Genomic DNA, 19044 nt, shown 5'->3' with positions numbered 1-19044 from the left:
ATTATGCCTTTAAATGTCCACTTTAAATATGCCAATTATATTTCAATAAAAATATTTTAAAGTTTATGATGCATAGATACATATATATATCATATATATATAATCTTTTATGACTCCCTGCTGTAATTTTTTTATTCGCTAACCAACTACAGGTTCCAATAGTGTCAAATGAGAGGGCTTCTACTCAACTTACCCCCCAACACTCACTACCTTCACTAGCCCCGGACGATGTCATCTATGCTCTTTGAAGGATGTCTGCTCTTCTCTGTCTAGAGAATTCTAGTGAGTATCTAGAGGTAACGAAATCTATACTGAATAAAACTGAATTAGCATTCCTTCCACTTCATATCCATTTTCATAAGGCAAAAGCTGTTTTATTGTAAATTCACTTATATAATGAGAATACTCTGGACATTGCTTAGTAGGGTTCTATTTGCAATTTATTCTGAACTTTATCCATTAATTACAAGCACAATGAATAACAATCATTACTACTAATCACTAAAATAAACAGATGAAGCACTCAAATGTATAAACCTTTTATTTAAAATTAGACAGACTCAAATACAAATTAAATAAGTACAATATAAAATAGTAAGCCTTCATAAAACACATCATAACCACTTTAAATCATTTACTATTTCTACAGCAAAATTAAAGAGAAATCTAAATACAGTCCAAAATCAAATTATTTTTAAACTCTTATTGTCAACATTAAAATTATTACAAAACATTCAAAGATATTTAATTAGAAGATGAACAAGGCCAGGTGTAGTGGCTCACGCCTGTAATCCCAGCACTTTGGGAGGCCAAACTGGGTGGATCACGAGGTCAAGAGATTGAGACCATCCTGGCCAACATGGTGAAACCCCATCTCTACTAAAAATATAAAAATTAGCTGGGCATGGTGGCGTGTGCCTGTAGTCTTAGCTACTCGGGAGGATGAGGCAGGAGAATCACTTGAACCCAGGAGATGGAGGTTGCAGTGAGCCGAGATCACGCCACTGCACTCCAGCCTGGTGACAGAGCGAGACTCTCTCAAAAAAAAGAAAAGAAAAAGAAAAGAAAATGAACACAACTACTACAGAGTGATTCCTGCTATCCACTAAAATAAATAAGAATTAAAATTCAGTGTGATTTCCATTCATCCACAGATAAAAAGCACCTCATCTTAAGAAGACAATTATCTATTTCTTTCCAAGGCTGTGAGGACTGCTTTGTTTATTTGACTTTTAATTTTAATATGGCACAACAAGCTTGATCAGTAAAAGCAATATCATTAAAAATGTTTAGAATGTTCCTTACAGACCCTTTCTGCTTCACTTCATGAATGAGGGTATCATATATTTAACATTTAAAACATTATGACACAATAAATACCTTTTAAAGGTATGTGGCAAAATAAAAATATACTCTGATTCGAGCTGGTGTTTGGAAAAAATAAAAATATACATTAAACAATGAAGTCTCGGCTGGGCACAGTGGCTCACACCTGTAATCTCAGCACTTTGCGAGGCCGAGGTGGGTGGATCACTTGAGGTCAGGAGTTCGAGACCAGCCTGGCCAACATGGTGAAACCCCATCTCTACTAAAAATACAAAAAAATTAGCCGAGCCTTGTGGTTGCACACCTGTAATCCCAGCTACACAGGAAGCTGAGGCAGGAGAATCGCTTGTACCCAGGAAGTGGAGGTTGCAGTGAGCTGAGACCAGCCTGGGTGACAACAGTGAAACTCTATCTCGAAAAAAAAAAAAAAAACACACACACAATGAAGTCTCTTCTTTCCTTTATGATGGAGAAATGATCATATTCATTCTATTTTTTTCTTTTTACCATCTTAACTCCCGAGGAAAAACGTTTTATATTTTTATTATCAATGTTATAAATCCAATTCTAAGACTTTGCACACAAAAAATACCAAGGGAGATAGTATAATATCTCAAGCTTGTATTTTCCTGAAATTATTGGGAAAAAGTAGAACTAGACTTAAGTAGATAACAGGAAAATACAGTATTATGGTGTTTGTATACAAAAAATAATCCAAAACAGATAAAAACACACGCTCAAGATGGCACCCACATTATTCCAGAATAAAGTTATTTACATATATACAAACGATTATATGACTAAATAAATGAACATTTTCCTAAAACATGCATATTGTGAAGCCTTTTATAATTAAACCTATAAAATCAAACTAAATTGCATATTATCAACTGTCATGATTACAGCTTTCTGCACACCAGGAGAGTTAACATTTTAACATCTGTTCTACAAAACTGAAGATAAAATGTCATCAAACTCAGCATTTCTCTAGAAAATTTTATATACCTCAGCAACCTGTCATACTGCCTGTCGTCAAATAAATGGACTCTAAAATGTACTTATTCTTTTCAGAAAAAAATTTTTTTTGTAGAGAGGGGGGTCTTGCTATGTTGTCCAGGCTGGTCTTGAACTCCTGGCCTCAAGTGATCCTCTGGCCTCAGCCTCCCAAAGCACTGGGATTACAGTTGTCAACCACCACGCCAGGTCTCTTTTCTAAAACTTTAATTTCCACTATTGCTCTTTTGAAACCATTTTAATCAAGTCACATTTCTTAGAAAAAATTCACTCAGGGTTCTGAAGGAATTAGTTATTTTCTACAAGCAACTCTGTCATGAGTGATAGAGTTGTAGCTCTCTTAGAAGTTTTTTTCCTCTTTCAAAGAGAATGAGAAATATGCAGAGATTTCCTTACTGACTCACTAAATGTAAAGATTAAGAGGACATAATAAAATTTTGGACTACAGTAGCATATAGGTTTTCAGTTTATTTACTACTAACTAGCTATAACTTAGACAAGTCATTTAACATGCTGTGCTTTAGTTTCATCTTTGAAACAAAGAGATTCGAACAGAAATCTCTTAAGCTTCCTTCCAACTCTTACATGGTATGATTCTGTGCTTCTGCAGGAATTCTTAATTGATAAACTGAATCTTCCATAAATCAAGAGAACTGATGTGTACTAAAATAGCACAGCTGAACTAAACCTTTCCTTGTTAGGAAAAAAACACAAAGACCATGTTCAAAGCTTAACTTTCCAAACCTTACTAGACCCATTCCCTCTTCAGCCAACCAAAGAATAGCCCATAGAGTTAAAACCAAATATTTTAATTATATAAATTACTTTTAAAGTATAATGTAAACCCATTAAAATATATTAACTCTATGCCAGTTTTCCTACACTCTAATTTACAGTATTTTCATTTTATCTACATTCAAGATAATATGTACAGTTAAGGAAGGGGCTATTTAATATTCTTGCACTTCTAAACACTAGTAAAAGTTAAATAAAACACAGACGAAGAACAGAATATTAACAATTATCATATTGTGCCAAATTTTTAATGAAAGTATGCTGAGTACTATTTGTGGGCTAAAGAAACAAGGCAAAGGTAAAAAAGGAAATCCTGCTAACAAGTGCTGATGATCAAATGAATTTAGTTGTGTTTTTCCATAACTTAAAAAAGACAGGAGGGAGAGGATTTTAGCAGAAATCTATTTAGGTAATACTGAATCATGACATTCCAGCAGCTTTTATGAAAAACTAATGTATAAAGTAGTATTTTGGTACTAGTGCAGTGGAAATTGGTTTTTCTTTGTCTAACTATGGACAGCAAGTGAGGCACTTAACTTTAAAATAGAAAAATAGGGTATATTTAAGAAGACATTCAAAATCATTCAGAAAAGATAATTAGCACTATTGAAAAAAAGTTAGAAATTCCATTTTTATTTAACATGCATTCAATGTTACACATGTTTCACTAAGGAAAATCCTTCTGAAAGTAAGATTACTCTTTTATTTATAAGAAACAGAAAATATTTCCTTTTCAAGGGATTCTGGATTTCTAAGAATAAAATCCAAGTCGTCTCAACCTGAGTGCTACGTATTTATAAACTGAGAAAAATACGTCTTACCATACAGGAAAAATGTTATGACTATCAACAAATACCATGAGCTGGGAGCAGTGGCTCTTGCTTATAATCCCAGATACTCGGGAGGCTGAAGTGGGAGATCACTTGAGCCAGGAGTTCGAGGTTATAGTGAACTATGATCATGGCACCGCACCAACAGAGCCAGCCTCCATCTCTTTAAAAAACAATAACAACAAATGCCACGTACCATGTGATCCTCAACTTTATCCTTGAAGGATCAGATGCTTTTATTTTACATAACTTCAGAGAAGGGCACCTAATGACTACAACAGAATAATAGATATTTAGCACCTAAATTTAGAGATGCTTAAGTATTGCCATAGTTTTAAATAGCTGTATGTCTGTAAGTTGAGGGAAACCAAATACATGTTGTTAAACGATATTATCCTTAATTACAAATGCATCTACCTACAATATTCAAACACAATCTTATTTCTCCCTGAAGTTGCAGACATATATATATATATATATATCCCTTTTAACAAGTAAAGTGAGGTTTATTATTTCTTCACCATCATTAAATTGTCTTCCAAATGTGGAACTTTTTCAGGTTAGACAAAAAGTAGTTCCTAAAAAGTCATTCATATTCGACCAGTAGTATTACTTTAAATGTTCTTCACTATGGGACAGAGGTCAAAATTGAAGTGAATGGCCACGGACCTTCTGCTGAAATATATAAGTAAAAATAAGCAGGAACAGAGGAGATGAACATACATTAATTTCTGACAACATGTTGGCACAAAAATGCTTACCTATAGGGTGAAAAAGCACTTAATGAGAGGATAAATATTTGCCATGAGAGTATTTCAAGTGAATGGAGACTAGTGTTTCCTTTCTTCATATCTAAGTGAAATATTCTTGTGTTGCCTAAGTAAACTTGACTTTAATCCTGGATAGAACACTTTACTTCATATGTTAAAACTGATGCATGACATTAACTGAAGTTTTCCATGAGACAATTTAATCATCCCCATTGAGAAATCTTATAATCCTACCTTTTCTTCCTTAATTTGCTTATAGAAAGGCTTTCCTTGACTCCGAAAGGAGGAAAAAAGGCTTTAAAAAAACATTTTACACCAGGGAGACTGGCAAATTTCAATAATTCACAATCCTCATATTTCTCATTTATATTTGCTTTATCAAATTTCATTCCTTGCTATATAATTAATTTTCTCAGACACAGAAGGGCCAAAATTCTCTTATTTATATATTTAAGGTAATTTTTTCTATTTTCTTTAATATATTCTAGCTTATTTTTGAAAGTAAATGAGTACATGAAAGAAACAGGAACATTGTTGATGCAATTCAGTTAAGAAATAAAGTGCATATAGCTTTCAATATAAATAGTTTGGTACCTTACAGCTAAGTAAAAAGCTAACAAAATCAAAATGAAAACTCAGCTCAATATCTAGAATCTGAAAAATATAAGACATGAATACAAATTCTATATAAGTAGTAACAAAATTAGGGGTAGGGAGTATTTCCCTCCAAAAAAAAGCAAAGGCAACTGAAAGTATTTTTAAGAAAAGTTAAGTGGATATCTGCCTCCCAAAAGACATGCTACACAGTAACACCAACATGCAATAGCTGAAATGTAGAATCACATTCTGGCTGCTGCCCCTGAACTTCTGCATTTAATTTAGAATTCTCTTGTGTCTGGCTAATTTCACCTTGCAAAGGAGGAGATATGCCATGACTCTCATCTACAGAAGCACCGTCAGACAATGTATCTAACTGTACTGGGAAACAAGCAATGTGAAGTTTGCTATCTCTTGTCTCTGTATCAAAATTGGTCCTCTCATCAGCATCTTCCAGCTGTTGAACTGAAGTTAAATACTGTTCAAGCAGACTATTGTCCTGCTCGTTATTTGAGCTTTCCTTATTCCATTCACCATGTTCTTCACTAACATCCCCTAAATCTGATTCTTTGCCATATCTGACTGTGTCAATGGAATTCCCCATTATGGAGCTTTCACTGCCTTCTGTGGAACTTTTCTCAAAATCCAAAGAATGCTGCAATGAATGAACTTGTTCTGTTAGAGAGGAATGAAAACCAGAGTCTGGAAATTCTGGTAATGATTTCTCTTGAGGAGCTACATCAGAAGCAATAAACCAATCAGCATTTTGATCACAAGAGGACTCCTGGCTTTGGGTAAATAATGGATGTTTCGATGGCACAAGAGTACTTGATATAGGAGGAACATCAGTATGCCAGGAACTTAGACGCTGGTCCACTGTCTGTTGCCAAACCTGTAGAGACCTTACCTATAAACCAGAGAATACAGTTGTATTATAAAATAAAAAGTGTTGTTTTTGTTTGTTTGTTTTTGAGACAGGGTCTCGCTCTGTCACCCAGGCTGGAGTGCAGCAGCACAATCATGGCTCACTGCAGCATCAACCTCCTGGGCTCAAGTGATCCTCCCACCCCACCTCTGCCTCCTAACCAGCTAGGACTCCAGGTGCCCACCACCATGTCTGCCTAATTTTTTTTTTTTTTTTTGAGATGGAGTTTCGCTCTTGTTACCCAGGCTGGAGTGCAATGGCACAATCTCGGCTTACCGCAACCTCCACCTCCCAGGTTCAAGCAATTCTCCTGCCTCAGCTTCCCAAGTAGCTGGGATTACAGGCACCCACCATCACACCTGGCTAATTTTCTATTTTTAGTAGAGACAGGGTTTCCCCATGTTGGTCAGGCTGGTCTCAAACTCCTGACGTCAGGTGATCCGCCCACCTTGGCCTCCCAAAGTGCTAGGATTACAGGCGTGAGCCACCGTGTCCGTCCATCTGGCTAATTTTTAAAATTTTTTCTGTAGAGATGAGGTCTCGCTTTGTTGCCCAGGATGGTCTTGAACTCCTGGGCTCAAGCAATCCTTCTGCCTTGGCCTCCCAAGTGCTGGGATTACGGGCACAAGCCACCACACCCCACCTGTCTATTTTACAATTTTCCTTTGAGCTCTTTTTTCCAGCAGTCATGAAGCTGGCAAATGGCAGAACTGGAGCTAGAAACTGCTGACTCCCTTTATCTTTTCCATAGCATCCCAAGCCTAAAACCAGACTGGCACAAATGGTACATGTCCCTGGTAACAAAAGGCCCTCACCAGGAGTGGGAATGGGCCAAAGCAATTCTCTTGCTTCTACAAGAAAAACAGCAAGAAGCACAACAGTACATGTCTAGCTGACTAAGGGGTCAATAATGCGCAACAGCACATGCCTAGCTGAATAAGGGGTCAATAATGTATTCAAGATATAATGAGATCTATTCAATAAGACAGGTTAGAGCCCTTGAAATAAGTAGATCTTGTAAAATAAGTCTCATTTTAGATACCCAGGTAGAGATTACAGTTTTTAAGTATTAGCTAACAATATAGTATATGCAACTTTCTAAAATACCTAAAAACATACCAAATTCTTGATAATATGACCCCTAATTTCTAAAGTATAACAAAAATTCCAAAATTTTACTGTAAAAACTGCAAACAAGAAAGCAGTATGTACAGTTTTTAGTTTCCCTTTGACCCCCCGCCCAAGGTAATTACTGACAGCAACTTGATGCATATCCTTCCAGACTTTTTTCTAGGTCGTATTTTCAAATATACAGGGAAGCTGAGCACACTGGTGTGTGCCTGTAGTCCCAGCTGCTTGGGAGGTTGCAGCAGAAGGATCACTTGAGGAGTTCAAGGCTGTAATGCGCTAGTGCTGTTTTTTTTTTTTACTAAACAGTATTATTTTGGAGATCTTTCCATGTTGGTGAATACCATTACCTTATTTTTTTTAACTATTCCATGGTATTCCACAGTATTATTATTCTATAATTTAACCATTCCTCTATTGTTGGTAACTACAAAACTTTACAAATCAATAATTATTTTTTCATTTTATAGGTCAAATCCTATTATAACAAATTTGGCCAGGTGATGTGGCTCACTTTGGGAGGCTGAGGAGGGAAGACTGCTTGAGCCCAGAAGTTTGAGACCGGCCTGGGCAATATGGCAAGACCCCATTTCTATAAAAAAGAAGAAATGAAAATTTTATTAAAATATTTTCAAGAAATTATCATCAAGAAGTATTTGATGTGATACAATGCTAGTAAAACCAACTGCCTAAACTGTCCCTAAAGTGTGCTATTATAGGATTCAAATACTCTCCTATACAGTTATGAATACTTTTTAGGACATGCATATTGTAGTCATATACCATCTTAATCACAATTCATTCAAATATTCCCAAAAGACAGATCGATAGCTACATGAAATTTCAAATTGGGGTTGTTGTATCTATTGGAAAGCTCTAACAGCCTTCAGTTAAGCCACTTTCCTCCTGCTTTATACTATTTTGTTTTTCTTGTCAAAATTGTCAGAATATTTTTCTTCAGATTAAATAAAATGCAAGAAAATTCACTGTCCTAGTTCACAGTTAGTGGCGAAGAACACAAGCCATACCCTTAACCTTGAACAAGAGTGCTTAATACACCTGAGTACTCTATGATTATCTCAATGAATATAGAATCTGTATTTGATCATATATGAGGTAAATCAGCAGGAGGGAGTTTACCTGGTTCCAAAGGAATCTGAAAGCTTCTTCTTGTACAAATTTTTTAATACGTTCTTCATCTCTTTCTTTTCGTAATCTACAATAATTCAAAACACATTATTGACATAAGGAAGGGTGCTTTGACTCAGACTTCCTGTTACAACTCATAAACACATGCATTGTAAAGAGATTAATAATCTAATAGTTGTCTTTCCCACTTTTAGAATATCTAAATTAAAACCTTATTTTATTTTTATTTTTTTAACCTCAGAATCAAAATGGAACAGTTTTATAAGTGACATCATAAACCTTAATTTTGAACTGTGACTCAAAGTAGAAGCCAAAGGAGATATGACTGAAATACAGGTATTAGTTCTACAAAGTATTTCCAGTAATAAGAAATAAAATAAAATGTTAAATGGCTCTTTGTCTGGCTTCAATTTCTCAGCCAAACAAACCAAAGGAACAGAAAGTGCAAAAAAGGAGTGGCTATCCAAAGCCTCCAAAACAATTAAGGGTCACATTTAAGTACTCGTGATCCAGCTTGAAACACCCTCTGCTAAAGACTAATCCCATCAAACTTCACTATTCTGTTTCCCCAGGTCTCCGACCTACTCCTTGCTAACAAGAGACCTCCCATCCATTATTCCTCATTCATTCATCAAAGTCTGAGGTCTGGGCTCACTGCTGTTCTCTCCATACTTAGGCCTATCACAAACCTAAGGCTCCTCCTTTAGTGATCCATTATCACCCAAACTGTCAAGACCATTTTGTTCCACACCTCTGACCCAATTCTCCACTTTCTCTAGCCCCCCAAGCCTTTCTCCTGTGCCATCTAGAACTCCTGAATTATAATTAGCAAACTCCCTTATATACTCCATCTCTCTCTGAACTTTTCCTTGTCCAAAGCAGACCCACTTCTGAGAGCACTATAGCCCTCTGAAGTGGAAGCTATTTTTCCCTGTCACACATCAGGGTTCAAAAATTGCTTCTCACTATTGTTTTCAAATGATTCTTCATCTCCCTCCTTTAACTCCTGCCATCCTGCTAAATTTCCCAAAATTCGTTGTCAAGTACTGACCTCCCACCATCTGCTCCCATTCAATGAAGTCTCAGCACCAGGCTTTCTCTTTGCCCCATACCTGTCATCGTTTTTGGAGACCTCAACATTCACATGGATGCTCTAACAATAATCCACCCCATGTCAGTCACCCATTCTCATAGTCTCACCCTAGACCAAATCATTTTGACTACACTACTTTCAGAAATGGTTCTAAGCACCCAACACCAACCACTACTTCCTATCCTCCCAGTTCACTTGCTGTTGTACCCCACTGCAACAATCTAGACCTTCAGTCCAATGATCCTTCCCCCCTGCCTTCACTTCCCTTTTACCTCATTTAAAATTCCAGCCAGCCTGGGCACAGTGGCTCACACCTGTAATCCCAGCACTTTGGGAGGCCCAGGCAGGAGGATCACCTGAGGTCAGGAGTTTGAGACCAGCCTGGCCTACATGGTGAAACCCTGTCTTTACTAAAAATGCAAAAAAAAAATTAGCTGGGCATGTGGCAGGTGCCTGTAATCCCAGCTACTCGGGAGGCTGAGGCAGGAGGATCACCTGAACCTGGGAGGCAGAGGTTGCAATGAGCTGAGATCGCACCATTGCACTCCAGCCTGGGTGACAAGAGCAAGACTCCATCTCAAAAAAAAATTTTTTTAGATAAAAAATAAAAATAAAATTCCAGTCAGCAAGGTAATTCACACCTGTAATCCCAGAACTTTAGGAGGCTGAGGCAGGAGGACTGCTTGAGGCCAGGAGTTCAAGACCAGATGGGCAACATAGACTTCATCTCTTTAAAAAAATTTTTTTTAATTAGCTGGGCATGGTGGTGCATGCCTATAGTCCCAGCTACTTGGGAGCCTCAAGTGGGAGAATCACTTGAACCCAGGAGTTCAAGATTACAGTGAGCTATGATCACGCCACTACACTCCAGCCTCAGCAAGAGGGCAAGACCCCATCTCAAAAAACATATAAAATCTAAGATCTATCATTATTACTCCCTCTCAAATATCTTCAGCTCTCTTGCCCTTCCCCTGCTCTCTCTACAATATCACCTAGGAAAAAAAATCATTCCTGGCTGAACCAAATTAACCATGCCTGAATCAGACCAGAGCAGCTAAGAATTGCTGATGAAAATCATACAACCTGACCTATTGTTTTGCACTTTTAAGCATTTTCTCACATTGTCCAGCAACCCTCCTCCATTTTCCTCATAAGGTCATGTTTAAGATAACTACCTCACACCTCATACTTCTCTCCTTACACCTCCTTCACCCTCTCCTCATTTTCAGGTGTTGACCACATCTTATACATTATTGAAAAAGAAGCAGCATCAGACAGGACTTTTTCCCATCTCCCACCATCAAACCTACCACCTTACCTGCTCCTGCTCCCATTTCAGGCCACTTCCTCTACTTCGACACTACATTTCTTCCTCTCTTACCTTCTCAAGAACTGCAATCCTGCTCTTCCTCTTTTTTTTTTTTTTTTTTTTTTTTGCTGCACCATCAGTTTTTCCCTCCTTATTTATTCATTCCATCAACACATGAACAAACTCTATATCTCTCATCTACAAAAGAGAATGTTCCTTTAATCTAGATTCTCCTCCAGACACCACTTAACTCTCTTTTCTCTTGTTTTCCTCAAAACAACTCTTTCCAAGAATTGGCTACACTCATCCTTCAAACTCTTTACCTCTCATTCACTATTCAACCCATTCCAAAATGGCCTTCATCCCTCTACACCACTGAAGCTGCTCTTGGGAAGGTCACTGTGCAGTAAAGAGTTAACTCAGCAGGATGGGGATGTTCAAACACTGTACATTGCAAAGATAAGACTGGCCCTTGACTGACTCCTGGGAGATAATCTCCAAGCCCTTGGAATATCCTGACTGAAAAAGAATATCTTTATACACCTGGGGTCTTGGTCACATCAGATAGTTTAGGCAATCAATGATTTCTAGTCAACATCTGTTTTGTTCGCCTGGGGTCCTGGGTCCTGGGCCATGGAGTATCAGTGTGACCTCTATGTGGTCTGAGGTGTAAATAGTTAAGATCAGTTACATGGGTACTCAATACCTATGTGACTGGCCCACAATAAAAACCCTGGACACCAAAGATGAGGTAACTTTCGTCAGTTGGCAATACTTCATATGTGTTATCATACATCATTGCTGAGAAAATTAAGCCCTGTCTGTACAACTCCACTGAAAGAGAACAACTGGAAGCTTGCACCTCATGTCTCCTAGACTCTGCCCTAGGCACCTTTTTTCTTTACTGATTCTAATCTGTATCCTTTTGCTGTAATGAACCATAATGACGAACAGAATAGTATTTTCCCAAGTTCTGTGAGTCCTTTTAGCAAATCATCCAACCTGAGGATAGTCTGGAGAATCACCAACACAGTCACCAATAGCCTCCAACTGCCAAGTTTAATGCCTGTGTCCTCTCTGTGGCACCTCTCATCTCTCCTGAAACACTTGCTCCTGTTGAAGGTGGAACTCTCCTAGTTTTCCTACCACTCTGGCTGTCCCTTCTCAGTATCCTTTGCTGCCTCTTTCTCTTCTACCTGATAATACCAGTAAATATTACTAGTTGCAATATTAATGAAATCCTAACTTTCCTGGGCTAGCAGTCAGTAAAACATACGAGCCATGGGATTAAGGAATAATTCCTATTGTAGTCATATAGAATTTTAGCCCCTTCTGAATCCCTGCTATTTTCTTTATTTCTTATGTCATGTACTGAATTCCATGTAGACTTCATCATCTTCTCATTTTTATACTTGGTTTTTCAATGTTTTCTGTACCTTTCTATGTTTAGAATTATAGATCCCTATAAAGCTCACGTTCATTGAACATTTATTACTACACTGCATCTATGTATCAAGTGCTTTGCTGGGGATGGAGATGAGGAGATAGAGCAGATAGTGTCTGCTCTCCAGATGCTTTCGGTACACTGTAGGAGACAACCAAAGCAACAGTGGCTACATTGTGTGAAAAGTGTTATAATCACAGAAGCACAGTGTTCTGAATCAACTATAAGAATCTAACACCCTCAAACCAACAAAACAGTGCATCAAAAGGACTTCTGACCCACCTCCTTATTTCATCAGTTAAGCAGACAATGTGCTCTTGCATTCTGCGTAGCCGGATTTCGTAACGCACATCTTTGGCTTGAGGGTTGTAGTTCCTGGCATAAAATCCCCGCCAACAGGCCTGAAGCTTGGTGGCTGCATCATTTAATTTCTGAAGGGCAACTTTGTCTTGTCCCAAAGCAACAGATCTCTGGGTTAAAATCATGGGAAGTTTCTCTGAAGTTGCTTGAGATATGGTTTCTTTATTTTCTGGTTGTGTATTTTCTGGTTTCTTTATGTCTGATTGTTTCTGCTCAGTTGACTCAGGAAAAAATGTAAGACTGTGGTTATCATCCTTCAAGATAGCACTGATTATTGTTGGCTCAGGACAAGGTAATAGTCCAGCTTTCTCATTTACCTCTGTATTGATTTCACTTCTCATCATTTGAACAGAATTCTCATTTGCAGCCCATAAAGGCTGTTCCTCTTCCTTATCCAACACCTGGCTTTCCAGCCCTTTCACAGATTCATCTGCAACACCATCATCTTCTAGGCCCAAGTTAATGCCCTGCAGCCTCAGCTCAACTGTAGGTGATAGTGGAGACAGTCCTGATGCAACTGGCATAAAAGTAGACTCTGAAGAGAGAAGACTACAGTTTAACTTGTCCTCATCCGTCTGTATGTCTTCCAGGTGCAGATCATTTCGAGAATATCTCGTAGTGTGTACAGAGGCTGGAAAATTATTCTTAACCGCAAATAACTGATCATCATTACTGTTTATCCCAACCCAAGAATTCACTTGAATGACGGGTTCTAGAAGAATCAACAGAGTATCATTTAAACCACTAAATGTTTACATTTTAGTTATGTCCCTTTAATGAAATCTATTCCTTGAAATAGAGTAAAATGCAAAAAAATCCCCTCAGTGACTTCTTCCAATATGCCGAAAACATCAAACCAAACATTTTTAAGAAAATGAATTCTTGTGATAATCATAAGAATAATCAAAGCATCAGGTCTATATAAAAGGTAGTAGTCCTTGAAATGTTTCTTAAAATTAGAAATATAGCAGTTATAATATACATACATATATAGGTGTGTTTATACATAGATATGTATAAGATCTAAATGATTACTGAAGTTAGTAAACTAACAAAAAATTATGAAAATATGCACCTTTTTCTGCTTTATGATACCCGACAAATTAAACAACTTGGAGAAAAGGGATCAGAGATAAATTCATTTCTTACCACTTTCCTGGGATATCTGGCAATCTTGAACAGGGCTTGAATGCTCAGGAATAAGGGATGCCCTTGTTTCAACAGGAACAAGAGGAGACAACTCTTCATTTTGGCTTTGGTTCATCAACTGCCTCTGGTGAAACCTAAAAATCAATAATACCTGGTCTAATTTAACACAAACCAAAAAAAGAAAGATTTTCTGCTTCCTAGGTAACAATGTCAAAAAGGCAGAAGTTTACAAGTTCTCAAAGTAGGTACTTTTAATTAATGCCAAATTATAAATCCTCATTTGAAAGCACTGGATAAAGAAAGTTAAGAAGCTTATTTTGTAATTGCAAAGACAGACCCTACTATGCACACATACACACATACAAAAACATTTAAAGGCAGGATCTCTGATAAAGAAAGTAAATATTAAATGCTTCTGGCAATACTTTTTCTCTTTTTTTTCACTGTACCCTTTGAAGGCAGATATACCTCTTAAGTATTCAAAAACCCACAAGAAACACCTACATTAAAGAACAAATAGGTCGGGCACGGTGTCGCGCACCTGTAATCCCAGCACTTTGGGAGGCCAAGGCAGGTGGATCGCTGGAGCTCAGGAGTTCAAGATCAGCCTGAGCAACATGATGAAACCCCATCTCTACAAAAAATATAAAAAATTAGCCGAGGCTTGGTGGTGCGTGCCTGTAGTCCCAGCTACAGGCACGGACTGAAGGGGGTCTGAAGAGGGAGGATCATTTGAGCCCAGGAGACTGAAGATGCAAGGAGCTGAGATCACACCACTGCACTCCAACCTGGGTGACAAAGTGAGCTCCTGCCTCAAAAAAGAAAAAAGGGGGAGGGGTGGCAGACGCAGTAGCTCATGACTGTAATCCCAGCACTTTGGGAGGCCAAGGCGGGCAGATCACCTGAGGTTAGGAGTTCAAGACCAGCCTGGCTAACATGGCAAAAACCCATCTCTACTAAAAATAAAATATTAGCTAGGTGTGGTGGCGCATGCCTGTAATCCCAGCTACTCAGGAGGCTTAGACCCGAGAATCATTTGAACTGGGAGATGGAGGTTGCAATGAGCTGAGATCACACCACAGCACTCCAGCCTGGGCAACAGAGTGATATTATGTCTTAAAAAAAAAAAAAGAACAAATATATTTTTTAAAAATCCTATCCCGTTTCCTGGTGTAGTAGCTCATACCTATTATCCTAGCACTTTAGGAGGCCGAAGCAGGAGAACTGCTTGAAGCCAAGAGTTTAAAATCAGACTGAGGAACAAAGTGAGACCTCATCTCTACAAAAAATTAGCCAACCATGGTGGCATGCACCTGTAGTTGCAACTGCAGTGACCTATGACTGCACTGCTGTACTCACAGACCAAGAGACCAAGACCCTGTCTTTAAAACAAAAAAACCCCTCTATTCCTCCATACCATATTGTTTGGCTGTTTGCAGTGCACGATTCAGCTTCCCTGCAGGAACTGTTGCAGTGACAAGGGGACTGAGTGTCCAGAAATGTGGGCCGCAGCACTTGCCTCAGGCTTACTATCACCATAGCAAAGACTCAGAGGTATTTTAACTTGTGAATTCATCAGTTGTTAGAAATAAATGGGCTTACCTCTGTTTGCTCAAAATCTTCTCTAGTTTGGCATCCTCTGCAGTTTGAAGACCTAGTGTAGAAGTGAGGGGGCAGACTGTAGCCAGATATTGGACAAGCTGGATGTGCTGGCCAGGCCGATATGCTCTCCCCTTGCCTTGACTATAGAGCCATTCAGCTTTCAAACTGGAATTGGGGAACATAAAAAAGAGGAGATGGCATGAGAATAGTCAACACACATTGTCAGGCAACAATGATCTTCCTTGTTAACTTACCTTTATAGCACCATTGTATGTTTTTCATAAATAAAATTCACTCAATTTTTTTAAAAAATCTATCATTCTGACTCATATTCACCATTCTAATAATGTTTCAAACCCTTTTTCTTGCTTAGGGGCACTTCCATTGAGCTTGGACTAATGGTGCCAAATATTTTTAAATCATTTTCAAGGAAGCAATGAGTATTCTCCCCATTCATTCTGTCACACTGAAATGCCTAAATAGATGAACTGCATTTGAATCCATTAGTTCATAATGACAGTTAAAAGAAAAAAAAAAACTAGCCGGGCATGGTGGCATGTGTAATCTCAGCTACTCAGGAGTTGGGGTGGGAGGATCACTTGAGGTCAGGTGTGTGAGGCTATAGTGCGCTATAATCATACCTGTCAACCTTATAGTCCACCAACCTTATAGTCCACCCCTCAAAAAAAAAAAAAAAATCAAACCTGAATCTGAACAAACATCCATATCCAATTTACAGAAAATACAAAAGGGAGAGGAATATGTCAAAGGACACAGGGATGTAGTTGGTAAAATGAGCAGATAATGGGAAACTCTATAGGACAAATACTCTGACTTCTTCAACTACAACCAAAAGAAAGAAAGAAAAGCAAGGGAGAGAGAGAGAAAAGAAAGCAAAGAAAATAGAACAAAGACAGATAGATTGAGAGATTCAAGAGAGTCATCTTGGACATCTAGCCAAGTTAAGCCTTCGGATGACTCTAGCCCCATCTGTGATCTGAGTGCAAGCCCAGGAGGCCCCAAGAAAGAACTGCTCAGTCAGCACAGCAAATCTACAGAGTATGCCATAATAATATACTGCTGCTTTAAGACACTAAACAGAGTAAGAAAGAAACTTAAGAAATGTATCAACCAAATGTGACATAAGGCTGTAATTATTTGAATTCTGTTTCTAAGATACAAAATTCATTTATAAGGATTGAAAATATAAGACTGAATATCTGATATTAGGGCACTTGGTTAATTTTTTTTAAGATGTGATAATAGCATTGTGGTTGTTTCTTTAAGAGTTCTTCTCTTTAGAGACATATACTGAAATACTAACAGGTGAAATGATATGTAATCTGAGATCCGCTTCAAAATAGTACAGAAGAAGGGAGAGTGAGTGAAGGTATAAGATGAAGCAAGGGCCAGGTATGGTGGCTTATGCTTGTAATCCCAGCACTTTGTGGGGCTGCGGTGGGAGGATTGCTTGAGCCCAGGAGTTTGAAGCCAGCCTGGACAACAAAGCAAGACTCTTGTTTCTTAAAAAAAAAAAAAAAAAAAAAAAAAAGATGGCCAAATAGGAACAGCTCCGGTCTACAGCTCCCAGCATGAGCGATGCAGAAGATGGGTGATTTCTGCATTTCCATCTGAGGTACCGGGTTCATCCCACTAGGGAGTGCCAGACGGTGGGCAGAGGACAGTGGGTGCAGCGCACCGTGCGCAAGCCGAAGCAGGGCGAGGCATTGCCTCACTCAGGAAGCGCAAGGGGTCAGGGAGTTCCCTTTCCTAGTCAAAGAAAGGGGTGACAGATGGCACCTGGAAAATCGGGTCACTCCCACCCTAATACTGCGCTTTTCCAACGGGCTTAAAAAACGGTGCACCAGGAGATTATATCCCGCACCTGGCTCGGAGGGTCCTACGCCCACGGAGTCTCACTGATTGCTAGCACAGCACTCTGAGATCAAACTGCAAGGCAGCAGCAAGGCTGGGGGAGGGGCGCCCGCCATTGCCCAGGCTCGCTTAGGTAAACAAAGCAGCCGGAAGCCCGAACTGGGTGGAGCCCACCACAGCTCAAGGAGGCCTGCCTGCCTCTGTAGGCTCCACCTCTGGGGGCAGGGCACAGACAAACAAAAAGACAGCAGTAACCTCTGCAGACTTAACTGTCCCTGTCTGACAGCTTTGAAGAGAGCAGTGGTTCTCCCAGCACCCAGCTGGAGATCTGAGAACGGGCAGACTGCCTCCTCAAGTGGGTCCCTGACCCCTGACCCCTGACCCCTGAGCAGCCTAACTGGGAGGCACCCCCCAGTAGGGGCAGACTGACACCTCACACAGCCGGGTACTCCTCTGAGACAAAACTTCCAGAGGAACAATCAGACAGCAGCATTCCCAGTTCACGAAAATCTGTTGTTCTGCAGCCACCACTGCTGTTACCCAGGCAAACAGGGTCTGGAGTGGACCTCTAGCAAACTCCAACAGACCTGCAGCTGAGGGTCCTGTCTGTTAGAAGGAAAACTAACAAACACAAAGGACATCCACACCAAAAACCCATCTGTACATCACCATCATCGAAGACCAAAAGTAGATAAAACCACAAAGATGGGGAAAAAACAGAGCAGAAAAACTGGAAACTCTAAAAACCAGAGCACCTCTCCTCCTCCAAAGGAATGCAGTTCCTCACCAGCAACGGAACAAAGCTGGACGGAGAATGACTTTGACGAGCTGAGAGAAGAAGGCTTCAGAAGATCAAACTACTCCGAGCTACAGGAGGAAATTGAAACCAAAGGCAAAGAAGTTAAAAACTTTGAAAAAAATTTAGACGAATGTATAACTAGAATAATCAATACAGAGAAGTGCTTAAAGGAGCTGATGGAGCTGAAAGCCAAGGCTCGAGAACTACGTGAAGAATGCAGAAGACTCAGGAGCCGATGCGATCAACTGGAAGAAAGGGTATCAGTGATGGAAGATGAAATGAATGAAATGAAGCGAGAAGGGAAGTTTACAGAAAAAAGAATAAAAAGAAACGAACAAAGCCTCCAAGAAATAGGGACTATGTGAAAAGACCAAATCTAGGTCTGATTAGTGTACCTGAAAGTGACAGGGAGAATGGAACCAAGTTGGAAAACACTCTGCAAGATATTATCCAGGAGAACTTCCCCAATCTAGCAAGGCAGGCCAACATTCAGATTCAGGAAATACAGAGAACGCCACAAAGATACTCCTTGAGAAGAGCAACTCCAAGACACATAATTGTCAGATTCACCAAAGTTGAAATGAAGGAAAAAATGTTAAGGGCAGCCAGAGAGAAAGGTCGGGTTACCCACAAAGGGAAGCCCATCAGACTAACAGCGGATCTCTCGGCAGAAACTCTACAAGCCAGAAGAGAGTGGGGGCCAATAATATTCAACATTCTTAAAGAAAAGAATTTCAACCCAGAATTTCATATCCAGGCATACTAAGCTTCATAAGTGAAGGAGAAATAAAATCCTTTACAGACAAGCAAATGCTGAGAGATTTTGTCACCACCAGGCCTGCCCTAAAAGAGGTCCTGAAGGAAGCACTAAACATGGAA

General features: G+C 39.2%; 1 protein-coding gene across 5 annotated transcripts in view, besides 1 other annotated feature; it reads right to left on the bottom strand.

The window, feature by feature from the left end:
- Window positions 1–523: 523 nt before the first annotated feature.
- CEP97 (centrosomal protein 97) overlaps window positions 524–19044 on the bottom strand; it is a 45949-nt gene continuing 27428 nt past the window's right edge. For 3 of the 5 annotated variants that reach the window (NM_024548.4, NM_001410784.1, XM_047448917.1), the window contains 5 exons: window positions 15492–15656; window positions 13890–14023; window positions 12663–13452; window positions 8526–8601; window positions 524–6239 (listed from right to left, as the gene is read on the bottom strand). In NM_024548.4, coding sequence (NP_078824.2) covers window positions 5535–6239; window positions 8526–8601; window positions 12663–13452; window positions 13890–14023; window positions 15492–15656 — 1870 coding nt within the window. In that variant the 3' untranslated portion in view covers window positions 524–5534. The remainder of the gene's footprint in view (window positions 6240–8525; window positions 8602–12662; window positions 13453–13889; window positions 14024–15491; window positions 15657–19044) is intronic. The other 2 variants (NM_001303401.2, NM_001410785.1) reach the window with 1 other exon arrangement.
- Window positions 1458–1537: an enhancer, noted in NCBI's record as "active region_20179". NCBI's record gives its function as "activates an Ori minimal core promoter by ATAC-STARR-seq in GM12878 lymphoblastoid cells {active_cell/tissue: GM12878}" and the evidence as "EXISTENCE:reporter gene assay evidence [ECO:0000049][PMID:35858748]".

Source organism: Homo sapiens, chromosome 3, assembly GCF_000001405.40.
Source record: "Homo sapiens chromosome 3, GRCh38.p14 Primary Assembly".
Lineage (NCBI taxonomy): Eukaryota > Metazoa > Chordata > Mammalia > Primates > Hominidae > Homo > Homo sapiens.
This window is presented reverse-complemented; position numbering and strand designations above follow the sequence as displayed.